The sequence below is a fragment of the Homo sapiens genome, chromosome 13 (assembly GCF_000001405.40).
Source record: "Homo sapiens chromosome 13, GRCh38.p14 Primary Assembly".
NCBI lineage: Eukaryota > Metazoa > Chordata > Mammalia > Primates > Hominidae > Homo > Homo sapiens.
The window spans coordinates 30,842,733-30,860,580 of record NC_000013.11 but is presented as its reverse complement, the minus strand read 5'-3'; the positions used below and the strand labels follow the sequence as shown (position 1 = coordinate 30,860,580).

The 17,848-nt window shown below is 46.1% G+C and overlaps 2 annotated features.

Annotated features, from left to right (window-relative positions):
- Window positions 12,429–12,518: an enhancer, noted in NCBI's record as "active region_7546". NCBI's record gives its function as "activates an Ori minimal core promoter by ATAC-STARR-seq in GM12878 lymphoblastoid cells {active_cell/tissue: GM12878}" and the evidence as "EXISTENCE:reporter gene assay evidence [ECO:0000049][PMID:35858748]".
- Window positions 12,629–12,688: an enhancer, noted in NCBI's record as "active region_7545". NCBI's record gives its function as "activates an Ori minimal core promoter by ATAC-STARR-seq in GM12878 lymphoblastoid cells {active_cell/tissue: GM12878}" and the evidence as "EXISTENCE:reporter gene assay evidence [ECO:0000049][PMID:35858748]".

Here is a 17,848-nt window from a genome sequence, read left to right as displayed (position 1 = left end):
TAGAAAATTACTAAGAGAAGACATCACAGGTAGGAGGATCCTTGCTAAACTGACTTAGGATTCTTGCTGAAGGCAGGGCAGGGTGAACAAAACTGAGGGTGAGGAATGAGGAATTTCATCAACTAGGGAGAGTGATCAGATATCAAGGATGGGGCATTCTTACTAAACTGACTTATTCTTGCTAAACTGATTTTTGCAAAGACTGGGTCATGTAGGCACCATAAGTACAGAACAGGAGCCAAGCTCAAAGCTTGGGCCTAGTTGGGAAGAGTGCTGAGAGGAACCTGACCAGCTTGGTCAAGGAAAGAGTCTTTGTCAGTTACCACTAGTCTATTTTTTTTTTCATATGGAGTTTCGCTCTTGTTGCCCAGGCTGGAGTGCAATGGCGCGATCTCGGCTCACCACAACCTCTGCCTCCTGGGTTCAAGTGATTCTCCTGCCTCAGCCTCCCGAGTAGCTGGGATTACAGTCATGTGCCAGCATGCCCAGCTAATTTTGTATTTTTAGTAGAGATAGGGTTTCTCTATGTTGGTCAGGCTGGTCTCGAACTCCCGACCTCAGGTGATTTGCCCACCTCGTCCTCCCAAAGTGCTGAGATTACACACATGAGCCACCGCACCCTGCCCACTAATCTAATTTTTATGTATCCATGTGACCATGGATTCACAGCTGTCTCCCTTTCTAGACTGTAAGTTCCTTGAGGACAAGGCCATTGTTGACTTCTGCTTACCATGCTCTTTCAGCACCTACGATGGACTTGAGGCACTCAGATGCTCAGTGAATGAATTTACTGAATAAATGAACGAATGAGTGAACGCCTAGTATACTAAAGCCCAGGGAATGTCTTGGAAGACAGGAAACAGACCACACACTGCTGCTGCTAATTCACTAGCCTGGCTGTCGTTATTTCTCTTCTTTGTTTCTATTTGCTCAATTGCACCTTTTCTCATTTGACTGCCTGGCCGGCAGTTTAGCTCTGGGGGAACTCAGAGAAAAGTCAGGCTGTTTGCTCCACAGTGTGCTGGTGCTGACTCAGCCAGCCGGTTCTGCCTGCTGGGGCCTAAACACACTGATCAAAATCCTGGGGAAATGATTTGCTGGAGCCGCTAACCTTTCTCTCTCCTGCAGATGCTTCCTGGTTTGTACTGCCTGACCTCCCTCAAGGTTCTTCCCCATTTCCCAGAAGTTTAGGACTCCCCTGCCAGCCTTAAGTTAAGAGGAGACGCAGGAGGACAGGATGGCCACCTGATAGGTCCATTGTTTACTGTGCCAGGGTGGAGGAGGGAAGAGGAGAGGTCTGCTGAGTTCTGAAGATTGGGAAAGGGCTCCTCTTTTTAGTAGGCAACCTCTTGAAGAATTGTGGTCTGTTTTCCCAATCCCTTCACTTCAATTTCCATTTCTTAGTGGTCATTTCTAATTAGCCTCAGCCAGTACTAGCTGTCAGACCTCCCTGACCCTCCTTCTCTCACTCCATTGTTTGTTCCTTCCAGGATTCCTATTCCTAAAGGCTGGAGGATCCAGGGCTCAGGCCAAGGACCTCTTTTCTTTGGACATTCACTCCTGTTATTGCACCTCTAGGTGACCTGACAGCTTGCCAATGTCTGTTCAGAGCCCAGCCACCTCCCCAGAACGTCAGGCTTGTGTGCTGTGCTAGGCGGCCCCTGAGATGACTCCCATCTTCCTCACTGCCTGGTGTTCACACTGCTTCCTGAGGGTGGGCTGGATTGCTTCCGAGATTAGGCCTCTGTCTTGCTGGCCCTCTCTTGCTCTCCCACTTGCTCACTCTCATGAAGGTCGGCTACTGCGCTGTGAGCCACTCTGGGGAGAGTCTCGCATGCCAAGGAACTGGGGACAGCCTCCAGCCAACAGCTAGCGAGGGCCTGAGGCCCTCAGTCCAACAGCCTAGGAGGAACCCAATCCTGCCAATAGCCACATGCATGAGCTCAGAAACAGATCCGCCCCAGAAGAACCTTCAGATAAGATCACAGCTCCTCAAGTTCAGTCTGTGAGATACCCTGAACCAAACAGGTTGCAGCTAACTCCTAAGCAGATAAGCTGAGCCATCAGTGCTGGCTCAGTCTGGGGAATGGACCTAAAGGTAAGACCCAGCTAAGCCACACTCAGATGGCTTCCCCTACAGAAACTGTAAGATATTATTTGTTGTTTTAAGCCACTGAGTTTAGGAATAATTTGTTACACAGCAGTAAATCAGTAATACTATATTTAACTGCCTACTTAGCTTGGATGCCTAAAGAACATCTCATACTTAACACTGCTAAACCAAATCTTGATTTCCTGTCCTAAGAATTGAGGGAACAGAACACACCAAAGATAAAGAAACATAGACTAAGTAGAACCACTGTGCTCACAGACAGTGCCGAGGGAAATGCAAGGGCTCAGGAGACAGACCTAGCTGAGAAATCTGAGAAGGAATCAGCATGCATGGGGAAGTCAGGAACAACAACGGGCCCATGGACGCCAGGGTGATACCCCAACTCAGGGGGAAGCTCAGGCAACCCTCCTGTTGCTTGTCTGACTACATTACATGGGTTGGTTGAAGTGGTAAACTGTGAGGCTACCTGCACGACACTGCTCCCCAGACACACAGCCTCGGCTCAGCAAGGAAGGACATTGCCATCATGACAAAAAGCTGCAGAAACTCAACATCAGGTGCATGTCATCTCAACCTTAGAAAACCACCTAAAACTCAGTCATGCTGCTTAAACGCTTTTTTGATGAGAATCTGACCGAGCACTGACAGCGTTAAGGAATGCTTTCAGCTTCCTGCCTATGTGGGCAAGTTTGGAATTTTATTCTGACTCTCCCTCAATAAAAGGGGCAAAATTAGAGCTCATCCCCAACATACCTTTGTTCCAGGCAGACATCGGGGGAGAATCTCCAATCTGAAAATTTAGAGATAGGCTCCTTTTGTATGTTTTGTGTTTTTGTAACACCCTATATGAAGACTGTGTGCAAAATAAATTATGTTCTTTCACACATGTGTGCTCATTTGCGCTTCATACAAACTGTGAAATAAATAGAAAACATGCCCTTATGGCCATTTTAAGTGGAAACTGAGGCTCAGCAAAGTGAGTGACTTGCCTAAGATCACTGGCTGGTGTGTTCTGGAACGCACATGAATCAGGCTTCCTGATGTTCAAGCATACAGAACTCACTTGTTCCTTCACAGTGGAGATCGCTGCTCAACCTTTAGCTACATCCACTCCCGATTCATCCACTTGTCTGGAGAACAGGACCATAACCATAGCTGCATTCACCAAGCCACTGAGGAACCTCGAGAGAAAAAACCCTGCAGGAGAAGAGGAAGCCAGATGGGTCCTGCATGGCTCTGTGGTCAGAGGCAGGCGAGCTCCTCCACATGGCCTGGCAGTGGACAGCAGGTTTGTCCCCAGGCCAGCATCTCAGTGGACTGATTGTTTAGCCAAACCCTCTCAGAGATGTGAGCACACAAAGAAGGGATCCTGGTGCCCCATGCAGGGTGTAAGACAAGAGGGTGGTGAGGAACTTCTCTGGTTTCAGGCACATCAGGAGTTCAAGGGTCTCAGGTGTGGTGCTGGAGATTGGCGGAGGTGGGGGTGGCATCAGTGTGAGGCTGTGGGACTCAAAGACACCGCAGCAGTGCCTGGAGGCCAGCTGTGGGCCCCATATACTCACCACCCAGACACGATGAAGCCCTTTGCCTAGCTGGGATACTCACCTTGTGGTTTGCAGATTTTTACAAGAGTGGATGGATTCCATGAGAGGAAACAAGCAAAGGTGCTGAGTTTTGGGTCTAGTTTGGTGCCCAGTGAAAGGGAGGCAGCACCCACAAGAAGGGAGAGAAGGAGGGAGCCGAGAGTGAAGCTTCCAGGGCTTTGCACAAATGCAGCAAGGACTTTAGACCTTGAAGCTGTAGAAGCAGAGGTTCGAGGCAATCCTATCTCAAAAATCCAGGGATGTCACTGATGACCGATTACCCTGATAATGAAATGAAGGCCTGGAAGGTTTCAGGACTTGTCTAGATCATCCAATCCCAAGCCAGGATTCTTTTTATTTCTATCATGATTTTACATGTTACACCAGATCACTCAGCTCAGTGAGAATTCCCCAGCTGTTTCAGGGTGACAGCCTGACATTCACGTGATAAACATCTGGCTCTCCCCAGCCCTTTCTAGCCCAGCTCAATTTATCCTAAATGCCAGTTTCTGCCTGTCCTGCGGATGTCTACTGAATCTAAAGGAATGCTCATTTCCTAAAGGTTTGCTCCTGTTACACGTGAAATGACAGGTCTTTGCAAATTCATCTCTAGCTTATTGATTCTGACAGCATGCTCCAAGGGGCATGGTGTGAGCGTGGACTTCCTGTGAGGAGACCACCCAGGAGTGACGGTGATGTTCTCAAGCTGTGTCTTCCTGGCCAGCACAAGAAGGCACTGGGCACTTCGCTGATAACAGGCAGCAGGCTGTCCATTCATTCATTGGCAGCTAATCCTGCAGCTGAGATCCAAGCTCTAGATTTGTAATGACTTCAGGTCATGGGGCTATTGGCCTCTTTTAAGAACCTTTGAAAAAATGTAGGATGGAGACAAAGTTCAAATCAACCTGCAAAGTGGAAATGTCACAGCAGCCATTCATGCCTTCCTTCTGCACAGTTTGATGAAGTAGACTATGTGGCTAGCTCTGAGCTGCATGCTTGGAATCTGCTGGTGAGCAAGATTACACATGGTCTGTCTTCTAGACTGAAATGCAGGAGGCAGACCAGGCAACTCTTACACTGAAGCACCCAGCAGCCATGCAGCACCGTGGCCCAGGTACTCACAGAGAGGCAGGCAGCCCAGGCAGCCAGAATGCACACACGATTAGCTTGGGTGAGAAAAGCCGAGGGTGCCAGCACAGCAGCAGGCCAGCAATGGGTTGTTAGTGATGTCAAGGTTGTGAAGAAGCTGGTTCTCTGAGAACTGTACTTCAAGAATTTTACTTGTACATCAACCCAGACTCCTGGGAACTTTTCTGCAGATGACGGCAGAGGTGACATGTATTTGAGCACTCATTTCTCCACAACGCCCTGGCTGGGCTTCTTGGATTTCAGCTATCCTCATGAGTCCATGTATTGTGACATTAAAAAGTACAGATCTTAGAAACTGGCATAGCCCTACCTTTTACTAGCTGTGTGATTGTGAACAAGTCTCCTAACATCTCTGAGGCTCAAATTCCTCAATTGCAAAATGAAAATAATTATAGGATTGTTAGAAGATATATCAGTCAGGGTTCTCCAAAAAAAACAGAGCCAATAGGAGGAGTGTGTGTGTGTGTGTGTGTGTGTGTGTGTGTGTGTGTCTTTTATATATAAGAAATTGGTTTTAAGGAATTGGCTCACAAGATTATGGGGCCTAAGGCCAGGTGCGGTGGTTCACGTCTGTGATCCCAGCACTTTGGGAGGCCAAGGCCGGCGGATCACCTGAGGTCAGAAGTTCGAGACCAGCCTGACCACCATGGTGAAACCACATCTCTGCCAAAAATACAAAATTAGCCGGGCGTGGTGGCGCATGCCTGTAATCCCAGCTACTTGGGAGACTGAGGCAGGAATATTGCTTGAACCTGGGAGGCGGAGGTTGCAGTGAGCCTGGGCAACGAGAGCAAAACTCTGTCTAAAAAAAAAAAAAGAAAGGAAAAAAGATTATGGGGCCTAGCAAGACTGCAGTCTATAGGGCAGGCCTGCAGGCTGGACACTCAGGCAGGAGTTGATACTGCAGCCTTGAGGGAGAATTTCTTCTCCTATGAGAAACGTTGGGTTTTGCTCATAAGGCCTTTCACTTGATGGCTGAGGCCCACCCTTTTAATCCCCCTTACTTAAAATCAACTGATGGTAGATGTTAACCACATCTACAAACCACATTTCCACAGCAACACCTAGATAATATTTGACTCCATAACTGGGTGGTAATACTCTAGCCAAGTGGACACGTCAAACTGACCATTGCAGAAGGATGGTCGACGCATCTCCCTTTTGGGAGAGGCATTTAGATAAGCAAAACACTCAGCTCAGTCCTTGTCATAGCGAGTGCTCAATACATTGAAGCGATTTTTATTTTTAAGGTATTCAAAACTATTTGAGGGCCAGATGAGGTGGCGCCTGTAATCCTAGCTCCTCGGGAGATTGAGGTGAAGGGATTGTTTGAGGCCAGGAGTTTGAGGCCAGCCTGGGCAACATAGCAAGACCCTATCTCTGAAAAAGTGAAAAAAATTGAGCATCTGCTATAATCAGCTAAAGTACATCTAATTGCTCACTGACCATGAGCAAGATTGATAATACACTGCCATCCTACCTAGCTTACGTCTCTAGTCTCAATGCCCAGTCCCCTCTAAGCCAGCCCCTGACCATTTGTGTCTCCAAAAGCCCTCTCTCTGGGCTGGCTGGAGGCAGCACAAACTTTGCTGCCACAGATAACTATCAATAAAGAATTCTGTGTCTCCTGCCAGGAAAATGCTCATCTTTATTCAGACACTTAGGTGAGTTTCAGGCCCACCCCTCTATCTATTAGTACCAAGATAAATGTTTTTATTTTTAACCAAGACTTTTACTAGCATTCTCATGGGACCTAATTCTTCAATTCCCTTAAATGACAGCTAATGCCTTTCTCTTCCTGTCTAGTGGAATTCTTTTTTTCCCTGGTATTTTCCATGCTACAGAAGCTTTTGGCTGATGGAAGAGAGGGCTAGGGACCAGAGAAGCTGAGGTATGTCAAACCACAGGTATAACCGAAGCTATTTTACTTCTGGATTTGCCTTTAATAGGACTTTGAGGCAGGCTAGTGTCCTATCATTTTAAAAGAAATGCATCTGAAACAATAGGCGTAATCATGGTGGCACAAGTTTGTTCATGGAGTTTCTCTCCTTCTCTATGTTTTCATCTAGAACTCAAAGATATTCTTGGGGAACAAATGATGCCTGCCCTTATTCTGTATTGTTCCTGTATGGTTAAGATCAGATACAAGTTACACCTGTGAGAATCCGTCCTAAAGGAGAGATGCTGAGAGGCTGCCCACAGGAGAGACACCATGCTCCTTTTGGGAGAGGGTCTACATCACTGTGGTTGAGGATGTAGGCCTTGGCATCAGATTGCATATTCAAATCCTGCCTCTACTGCTTACTGGCCAAGTGACTTGGGCAAGTTTCTTAACCTCTCTTTTCATGCTTCCATTTCTTTATCTGTAAAGTGGATTACTCTAGGATTGAAAGTTATCTAAATATGAAGTACCTGGCACATATTAAGCACTTAGTTTAATTAAATTATTGGTGTTATTATTATTGTAAGTGGTAGAACCCAACTCAAGCAAAGTTAAAGAAAATGGAAATTTATTAGAAAAACAATGTGTCATTTTATAGAGTCAAGGAATTAGCCTTTCTCATTGTGGCTTTGACTTGCATTTCCCTGATGTTTAGCAGTGTTGATTATTTTCTCATACGACTGTTGGCCATTTGCATGTCTTCTTTGGAGAAATGTCTATTCAAATCCTTTGCATGATTCCACTTATATGGGATATCTGAAATAGTCAAACTCATGGCAACAGAGAGTAGAAGAGTAGTTATCAAGGGCTGGGGGGAGGGGGAATGGAGAGTTGACTTTCGATGGGTATAAAGTGTTAGCTGTGCGAGATGAATAAGTTCTAGAGATCTGCTGTACAGCACTGTGTCTACAGTTAACAATACTGTATTGTGCACTTAAAACTGTTAAGAGGATAGATCTTGCGGCAGGTGCTCTTGCCACAAATAAATAAATACATAGAAAAAGACAGCACTTTTAGTTGGACATTATGGCTAGAACGTTGTGGGAGATGACTCACAACAAAAGTAAAGACAGGGAAAACCCTATGCATATTCTACAGAGAAATTGATCCCAAAATACTACCTCAGTATGTATCTGTCTGAGATAGGACATGGAGAAAAAGACACGAGGAAGCTGATTCACTAAGGAAGCGAAATAAAAAATGAACATGATCTGATTGCAGCCAGGGAAGCCTCATCATCATTAATTAGAGAATGTTAGAACATGCAGTTAGGAATGCTTGAAAACAAGTCACCACCAAGGGGATAGAAAGAATCCAGGAAAGGTATTAAGTTGGGGGTACGCCTTGTGAGTGGGAGACCAAGAACGTTCTCTCTCGGGAAGCCAAAGGGCTACCTGACAAGAGTCTGGTCCTAACTCAGGACCAAGATCTGGAGAAACCAGACGGGTCTAAGGTGGTCCTAACTCAGGACCAAGATCTGGAGAAACCAGACGGGTCTAAGGTGGTCCTAACTCAGGACCAAGATCTGGAGAAACCAGACGGGTCTAAGGTGGTCCTAACTCAGGACCAAGATCTGGAGAAACCAGACGGGTCTAAGGTGGTCCTAACTCAGGACCAAGATCTGGAGAAACCAGACGGGTCTAAGGTGGTCCTAACTCAGGACCAAGATCTGGAGAAACCAGACGGGTCTAAGGTGGTCCTAACTCAGGACCAAGATCTGGAGAAACCAGACGGGTCTAAGGTGGTCCTAACTCAGGACCAAGATCTGGAGCAACCAGATGGGTGTAAGGCTCCTCCCAACCTGGGCAGCCCCGCTGAGCAACCAGGACTCAGGCTTGGTCTGGGGAATAGACCTAAGAGTAGAACAGAGAAATGAAACTGGAGACGACGTTAAAACATGCTCTGTATGCAAGACTGAGGCAGTTGAGCCTGGCCATCCAGCTGCACCTTGTAATTTGTCTCCCCACACAGTCTCTGCTCAGGATTTTACATTCTGCCTCAACTCTCAACAACTGACCCAGCACACACCGTAGAACTATATCAGACAGAAGCAAGCTTTTGCTTTTAAATGAAAGTACAGAAACTCAATTTACAGAGAAATCACTGAATGCCTGTGGGATGGCAGAGGACCTGCCAATTGTTTTTTTGGGGGGAAGGGGGAGGGCATCCTATGATCTGAATGCATGTTTTTCCCCCCAAATTCATGTTGAAACTTAATCCCCAATGTGATAGTATTAAGACGTGAGGTCTTTGGGAGGTGATTAGATCATGAGGGCTCCATCCTCATGCATGGGATGAATGCCCTTATTCATAGCTTGAGAGAGCCTATTTGCTCCTTTTCTCCCACCCTGTGAGGACACATAGAGGCACCAACCACGAGGAACCCTCCTCATTATACATGAATCTTCCAGTGCCTTGATCTTGGACTTCTCGGCCTCCAGAACTGTGGACAACAATTTCTGCTATTTGTAAGTTACCCAGCCCAAGATATTTTGTTATAGTAGCCTGAATGGAACAAGACAGGGTTTTTTGTTGTTTTTTTGGTTTTCATTTTTCATTTTTGTTTTGTTTTGAGGGGACTTGGTCCAGTGCTATCTGGACAGCAGGAATAAAATAATAATAATAATAATTTGATTGACATGTATTTATTGAATGTCTTTTATATACCAGGCACTCTTCTTGTAGCTGAGGATCTACAGCACTGAACAAAGAGACAAGGCTGTGTGACCTCATCAAGCTTGCTTTCTGAGAGCCTCTGCACAGCAAAAGAAACTATTGACAGAGCAAACAGACAAACTGCAGAATGGGAGAAAATATTTCTAAACTATGCATCCAGCAAAGGATTAGTACCCAGAAACTATAAGAAACTTAAACAAACCAATAAGCTAACTTGGTTATAAAGTGGGCAAAGTACATGAAAAGACAATTCTCAAAAGAAGACATACATGCAACCAACAAACACATGAAAAAATGCTCAACATCACTAATCATCAGAGAGATGATTAGACACAAAACCACAATGAGATACCACCTCGCACCAGTCAGAATGGCTATTGCTAAAAAGTAAAAAAATAACAGATGTTGGTGAGGTTGTTAAGGGAATAACTCATACACTGTTGGTGGGAATGTAACTTATTTCAGCCCCTGTGGAAAGCAGTTTGGACATTCCTCAAAGAATTAAAAATAGAACTATCATTCAACCTGGCAATCCCATGACTGGGTATATACCCAAAAGAAAATACATCCTTCTCCCAAAAAGACATTTGCACTCATATGTTCATCCTACTACTGTTCACAATAGCAAAAACATGGAATCAACTCAGGTGCCCATCACTGGTAGACTGGATAAAGAAAATGTGGTACATATACACCATGGAATACTACACAGCCATAAAAAAGGATGAAACCATGTCCTTTGCAGCGACATGGCATGGATGCAGCTGGAGACCATTATCCTAAGCAAATTAGTGCAGAAACAGGAAACCAAATACCACATGTTTTCACTTATAAGTGGGAGCTAAACATTGAGTACACAGGACACAAAGATGGGAACAATAAACATGGGGGATCCCAAAAGGTGGGAAAGAGTGGGTCAAGGGTTGAAAAGCTACCTATCGGGTACTATGTTCACTACTTGGGTGACAGGATCATTAGAAGCCCAAACCTCAGCATCATGCAATACACCCGTGTAAGAAACCTGTACAGGTACCCCCTGAATCTAACACTTAAAAAAATTAAAGACAAATATATAAAAATAAATTCACCTTTTGAAAAAAGGCTTACTTTCTAGCTGGGAAAGATTGACAAAAACCAAAATAAGTATGATATGTATGATGTTAGAAAGTTGTAGTCTATGAACAAAAGCAAAGAGAATGGAAACCAATAGTGTTGCTGGGGGTGGGTTATGCAATTTTAAGAACAGATGTCAGGCAACCTTTTGCCGAGAGGGTGACATTGGAGTCAATACCTAAAGGAAGTGAGGGAGTGAGCTAATCACGTGTCTGGAGATAGAATTTCCCAGACAGAGAGAAACAGGACGTTCAAAGGCCCTCAGGTAGAACCTACTTGGTGCGTTGAGGCACAACAAGGAGGCCAATGAAGGTGGGCAGGTTTAGCAAGGGGATAACAGAGGAGATAAGGTGGAGGTGGAGTGCAGATAATGTGGCATCTGGCTATTCAATACTAGGGTCTTGGACCAGCAGCAGCAGCTGAGTGCTTGATAGAAATGCAGAATCTTGGGTTCTACCCCAGACCCACTGAGTCAGAGCTGCACTTTCACAACATCTTCAGTAGCTCATGTGCACATTACAGTTTGTAAAGTGCTGCTGTCGGGCTTGAGCATCCCATTGTTGGGCCTCAGCTATTAACTTTGTGCAATAATATTGGATATCTTCAGAGGGTTCCAAACATTGGAAGAGTGTAATCTGACTTATATTTTAACAGGATCGCCCTGGCCAAAGGGGACAAGAGTGGAAACCCAGAGCCAGTTGGAAGTTTCAGTTCCCTGGTAAGAGGCGATGAGGACTGAGGTTAAGAGGTGGTGGTGAGAAGTGACCAGGTTTGGATACATGGAAGGTAGAGCTGACAGGACTTGCTGATGGACTGGATGTGGGATGTGAGAAAAAGGGAAGATTTGAGGATGACTCCTAGGTTTCAGGCCTAGCTACATTAATTAAGCATTTACTATGTGCCAGACACACTACCTTTTCCTCCATCGCCTCATTTAATCCTTACAATGACCCTCTGAGAATCACTATTATTAATCCCAGAAAGGCTAAGTCACAGAGCTAGTCCATGAAGAAGCCAATTTATGAACCCAGGTGTGCTGCTTCCAAAATCCAAGCTACCCCACTGCTCGAGGCTCACTTCCCTTCCAGCACCCTTAGCTAGACACACTCTGAAATGAAGAGTGAGCAGTAGAGCTGACCATGGCTCCACAGTATACCACCTGTGTGACCCCAGGTAAGCTACTCAACCTCTGGGAGCCTCAGTTCCTCATTTGTAAACTGGGTCTATTAATGCTCCATAGGATTTTTGCAGGATGAGGCAAGATACTGAATGCGAAGCAGTAGGCTGAGGCTGTTGTCTGTTTCCAAACTGCCCTAGGGCTTTTTGCCCACTGCATTATATATATATTTTTTTCTTTCTTTCTTTTAATATCTAACACACATACATGTGTGCACAAAGAACTCAAACCAGATCATGGTCTGATATATCAAAAGAGAAAGGACAAAATGACAGAAATGAAGCCACAGAAATGGGACAAGTGACTAAGAAGCAGAGAAGGCAACCCTGAGCAAAAGAGCAAGGAGGAAACGAAGGATGGGGATGCAGCCAGTGGGAAGGTGAGGAGAAGGACCACAGAACCCATGGAGAAGACTGCATCGAGAGCAGATACCTACCAGTGAAACGTTAGCATTTCCAGCCTTAACAAGGCCTTTCTCATTTTGTATGGCTTTTTCTTCCTGTCCTAAAAGTCCTCGTAGAACAGGAATACTTCTTCTCTATGCATTTTGCAACTCTGACCTCCTAGTTATTACGTAGAGAAGGGCTATAATGCGGTTTGACAGGGCTTTTGTTTTGATTTTTTTCGTTGTTTTTTTTTTCCTCCCAGCAGAGATTTAAAATGACGACATCTACCCAAATACTCAGTCTCCTACTTGTCTCCATCAAGACCCATTTGCTGGCAGCTTTGAGACTGAAACTCTCAAGGGAGAGGGTGAATCATCCCTTCACACGGGGCTTGTCTTCCTCTCACAATCATGAATTCCCACAGAGATGCCGGGAACTTGTGGCTAAGGGCAGACGCTGAGGCTAAAATTGAACATGGGTGCAATGGAGCTGTGCTTAAAAGAGACATAAGGAAATAAGGAGTCGTACGTGTCCTGCTCTGTGGTTAACAAGTTGACTACACTCTCTGCTGATGGAGGGATGGCGACTTCAGGCAGGAAGGGTGAGGGAAGGACTCGGCTCTGGGCTGCCCCACTGTCCACCCATCAACATTGCTGTCTGGATGAATGGGGGATAGATCCCCTGGGGTGGAGGCTGGCTGCTGGGAATTATCCACTTTGGCTTCAAAATGAATTCACTGGGAAGATAGCCATTAGTGCAAAGTATGCTTTTCTCTCAGGAAAATCACCCTACAGATCATCATCATTTTAAGTTTTTCCTTTCCAGTGACCCCTTCTAGGAGTTTTCATTCTTCAAACAAATCATCAATTTGCTGGGAACATAATCATAACAAAAGCTAAAAGTTTCTCTTTTTTTTTTTTTTTGGTTCTTTCCTTCGAACCAGCAATCATCTTATGTGAATGCCCCACTGCCTAAGATCCAAATGAAGTAGAAGCTTGTCTCCTTTTAAAACGGCCGTTAGTGTTCATGGCCAGGTGTCTCTCTCACCTAAGCACAAGTTCTCCCTGTTCCATGGACTGGCAGCTGCTTTATAATATATACTAGTTATATTTTAATGCAATAGCTGGATTCTTATGTCAAGACCTGTGGAAGGTTTAAGGTTTTACCCCAGCTGTGAGCTAACAAGTGTCATGGATTCTGACAGAAGACATGACACTCCTGGATCAGAGACGAAAGATGTTATTATTCACAGCACACTCACTTACTTCAGAGAGTGCTAGCATCTTTGCAGCAGGCGTCCTGCCCCGAGTCCCATGGCGCAACAGGCCCAGATGAGGGCTACACACTCAGTGGGATGCACCTCAGCAGAGGAATCCAGGGTCAAGGGCCCAGCACTTTTTGAGTGCGCAGCAAACATTGCGGCAAGCAGCAGACCAGCCCTTCCCCGTCCTCCTGCAGAGTGAGCAGCTACTTAGTAGTCATGCTGTGAGCACCTGACCTACTTAGGTATCTGTGTGACTAGTTTGGAAACTGCTCAGTATCAGGAGATAGGTAAGCCCTGCAATCTGGCAGCAAGAGTGCACAGCTGAGACCAACATCTTCATCCATCCAGGTGGTCCTTTCCCTAGTCATTCAACTGCATGAGAACTTTTTTTGGTAATGTCTGTGTTACTTTGTAGACAACTAAAAATCCGGCCTGATAACCATATGTCCCAGGCAACCCATGCCTCTAATGAAAATACAATGTTTCTCAGAAGGGGAAATTAGAATTAAATATAAACTATAAACCTTCAGCTTTTTCTTCCTTCTCCCATGTTTGGTCTAAACTAAGTTCATTTAGAGTCATTGAGGCCAAGAAAGGTATTTGGTAGTGGTGTCAGGAGGTGGGAAAGAATGGATACATCCTATTGTTACATGTATCACTAAGAGCAGATGACTAACAAATGTGTTATGTGGTAAGTGTGTTGGAATAACTTTCAACATCATTTACAAATGCTTTTAAAAATGTCATTAAGGCCGGGCATAGTAGCTCATGCCTATAATCACAGCACTTTGGGAGGCTGAGGCAGGAGGGTCACTTGAGGCCAGGAGTTGAGACTAGCTGAGGCAACAAAATGAGACCCCGTCTTTACAAAAAATAAAATTTGCTGGGCGTAGTGGCGCATGCCTGTATTCCCAGCTACTCAGGAGGCTGAGGCAGAGGAATCGTTGGAGCCCAGGAGTTTGAGGTTGCAGTGAGCTATGATCACACCACTGCACTCCACCCTGGGCAACAGAGTGAGACCCTGTCTCCAAAACAAACAAAAAAAGTCATTAAACCTCTCAACATTGTTGGGGGCTTAGGCGCACAGTGTGGGCCTCTGTTACACAGTGTGGCAGGACATTATATCCTTTATTTTCTGATGCTTTGACCTCTAGAGTCATGCTGGTCAAATTCAGTTCCGCCAACTCCTGAAGATAGTAAACAACTCACGCAGGAGGATGCTTTTAAAATGTAAACAAACCAATCCAGAGTTCATACCCAAACCACTTCCTCTATTTGGCTTTCCTGCTCTGAGCCACTATCCACCTCCCCTAATGACCCTAGGGCCAGGGATCAGACGGCTAGGGACAGTCCCTACGCCCCAGAGCCCACTGAAAGGGTTCAAACTAGCCAATCCCAGCCCTGTCCACCCTGCCTCCCTCTTCCTCTGCCCCCAACCCAGTGCTTCCCCACGTGGCACCCCATGCAGGGTGTGCCTTCTTCTCTTAGGAACTGTGAGTAACAAACTATCTCTTCTTCTTCTTCTTCTTTTTTAATTTGTTTAGAGGCAGGATCTTGCCCTGTTGCCCAGGCTGGAGTGCAGTGTCACAACCATAGCTCACTGCATTCTTGAACTCCTGGGTAACAGTGATCCTCCCGCCTCAAGCCTCCTGAGTAGCTGGAACTACAGGCGCACACCATCGTGCCTGGCTACTTTTTTTCATTTTAAATTTTTTGTACAGACAGTGTCTCCCTATGTTGCCCAGGCTGGTCTCAAACTCCTGGCCTCAGCAATCCTCCTGCCTCGGCCTCCCAAAGTGCTGGAATTATAGGCGTAAGCCACTGTGTGCAGCCACAACTATCTTCTCAATGGCAATCATCTTCTGATCTGTTGGCTTTATTGTGGCTCCAATTTCCTGTTAATATGCTATATTTTAAAATAAGCAGTACCATTTGTACTTGGAGAAAGGACTGTGGGTGAGTGGGAAGACAGCCCAGGGTGTCCCATTAGAGTCTCCTTCTCTGTAAGTGCAACAGTGAAGCATTTGTTCATCTAATGTTAATACCCCTGAGAGTCAGGCATCTCACTCAGCTGCCCCCCTGACATTCCCACTGGGGTGCTTCACAGGGATCTCTCGCTGCACTGTACAAAACTGAACCCTAGACCTCTCACCCTCAACACACATACACACACACCACATGCACACACACACACACCACATACACACACACCACATACATACACACACCACATACACACCACATGCACACACACCACAGACACACACACACACCACATACACACCACATGCGCACACACACCACATGCACACACACACCACATGCGCACACACACCACATGCACACACACACCACATGAACACACCACATACACACACACCAGATACACACACACCAGATACACACCACATACACACACACCATATACACACACCACATACACACTACATACATGCACACCACATACACACACACCACATACACGCACCACATACACACACACCACATACACACACACAACATACACATCACATACACATACCCCACATACACACACACACCACATACACACCACATACACGCACACCACATACACACACCACATACACACCACAGACACGCACACCACACACACACACAACATACAAACACACCACATACACACCACAAACACACGCAGCACATACACACCACATACACGCACACCACATACACACACACCACAGACACACACACATCACATACACAAACCACACACACACCAGACACACACACACCACATACACACACCACACGCACACACACACACCATGTACACACCACAGACACACACCACACCCACACCCACACCACACCCACACACACCCACACACACACCACACCCACACACACCACACCCACACACCACACCCACACCCACACACCACACCCACACCCACACCACACCCACACACCACACCCACACACACCACACCCACACCACACCCACACCCACACCCACACCCACACACCCACACCCACACCCACACACCACACCCACACCCACACCACACCCACACCCACACACCCACACCACACCCACACCCACACACCCACACACACACCACAGACACACACCACAGACACACACATCACAGACACACACACCACAGACACACCACATACACACCACAAAAACACACCACAGACACACACACACACCACATACACACACACCACAGACACACACACCACATACACACCTACACACACCACATACATACCACAGACACACACACCACATACACACACCACAGACACTACACCACAGACACACACACACTCCACATACACAACACACACGCACACAACATACACACCACATATAAGCACACCACATAGACACACACCATATGCACACACACCACAGAGCCACGCACCACATACACACACACGACATACACACACCCCTGACACACACCACATACACACCACATACAAACACACACCACATACACACCACATACACGCACACCACATACACACACACCACATACACACACACCACACACACACAACATACACACACCACATACACACACACCACATACACCACATACAAACACACACCACATACACACCACATACACACACACCACAGACACACACACCACAGACACACCACATGCACACCACAGACACACACACCACATATACACACACCACACACACACACCACATACACGCACACCACATGCACACAACACATACATACACACCACATACACACACACTACATACACACACCACATACGCACACCACGTACACACACAACACATACAAAACACATACACACACACCACGTACACACCACATACATGCACACCACATAGACGCACACCACATACACATGCACCACAGACACACACACACCACATGCAAACACACACCACATACACACACACCACAGACACACCACAGACACACACACCATACACACCACATGCACACCAGAAACACACACACCACAGACACACACACCACATACACACATACCACATACACACACCACAGACACACACACCAGACACACACACACACCACATACACACTACATACACACCACATACACACAACATACACCACACACACACCACATACACAACACATACACACCACATATACACACACATCACATACACACACACACCACATACACACACACCACATACATACACACACACACCACATACACATCACATACACACAACATACACCACATACACAGACACACCACATACACGAACACACCACACACACCACATACACACACACCCCAGACACACACACCACTTACACACACACCACATACACACCACAGACACATACACCACATACACAACACACACACACACACCACATACATGCATACCACATACACAACAGGTACACACACACCACATAC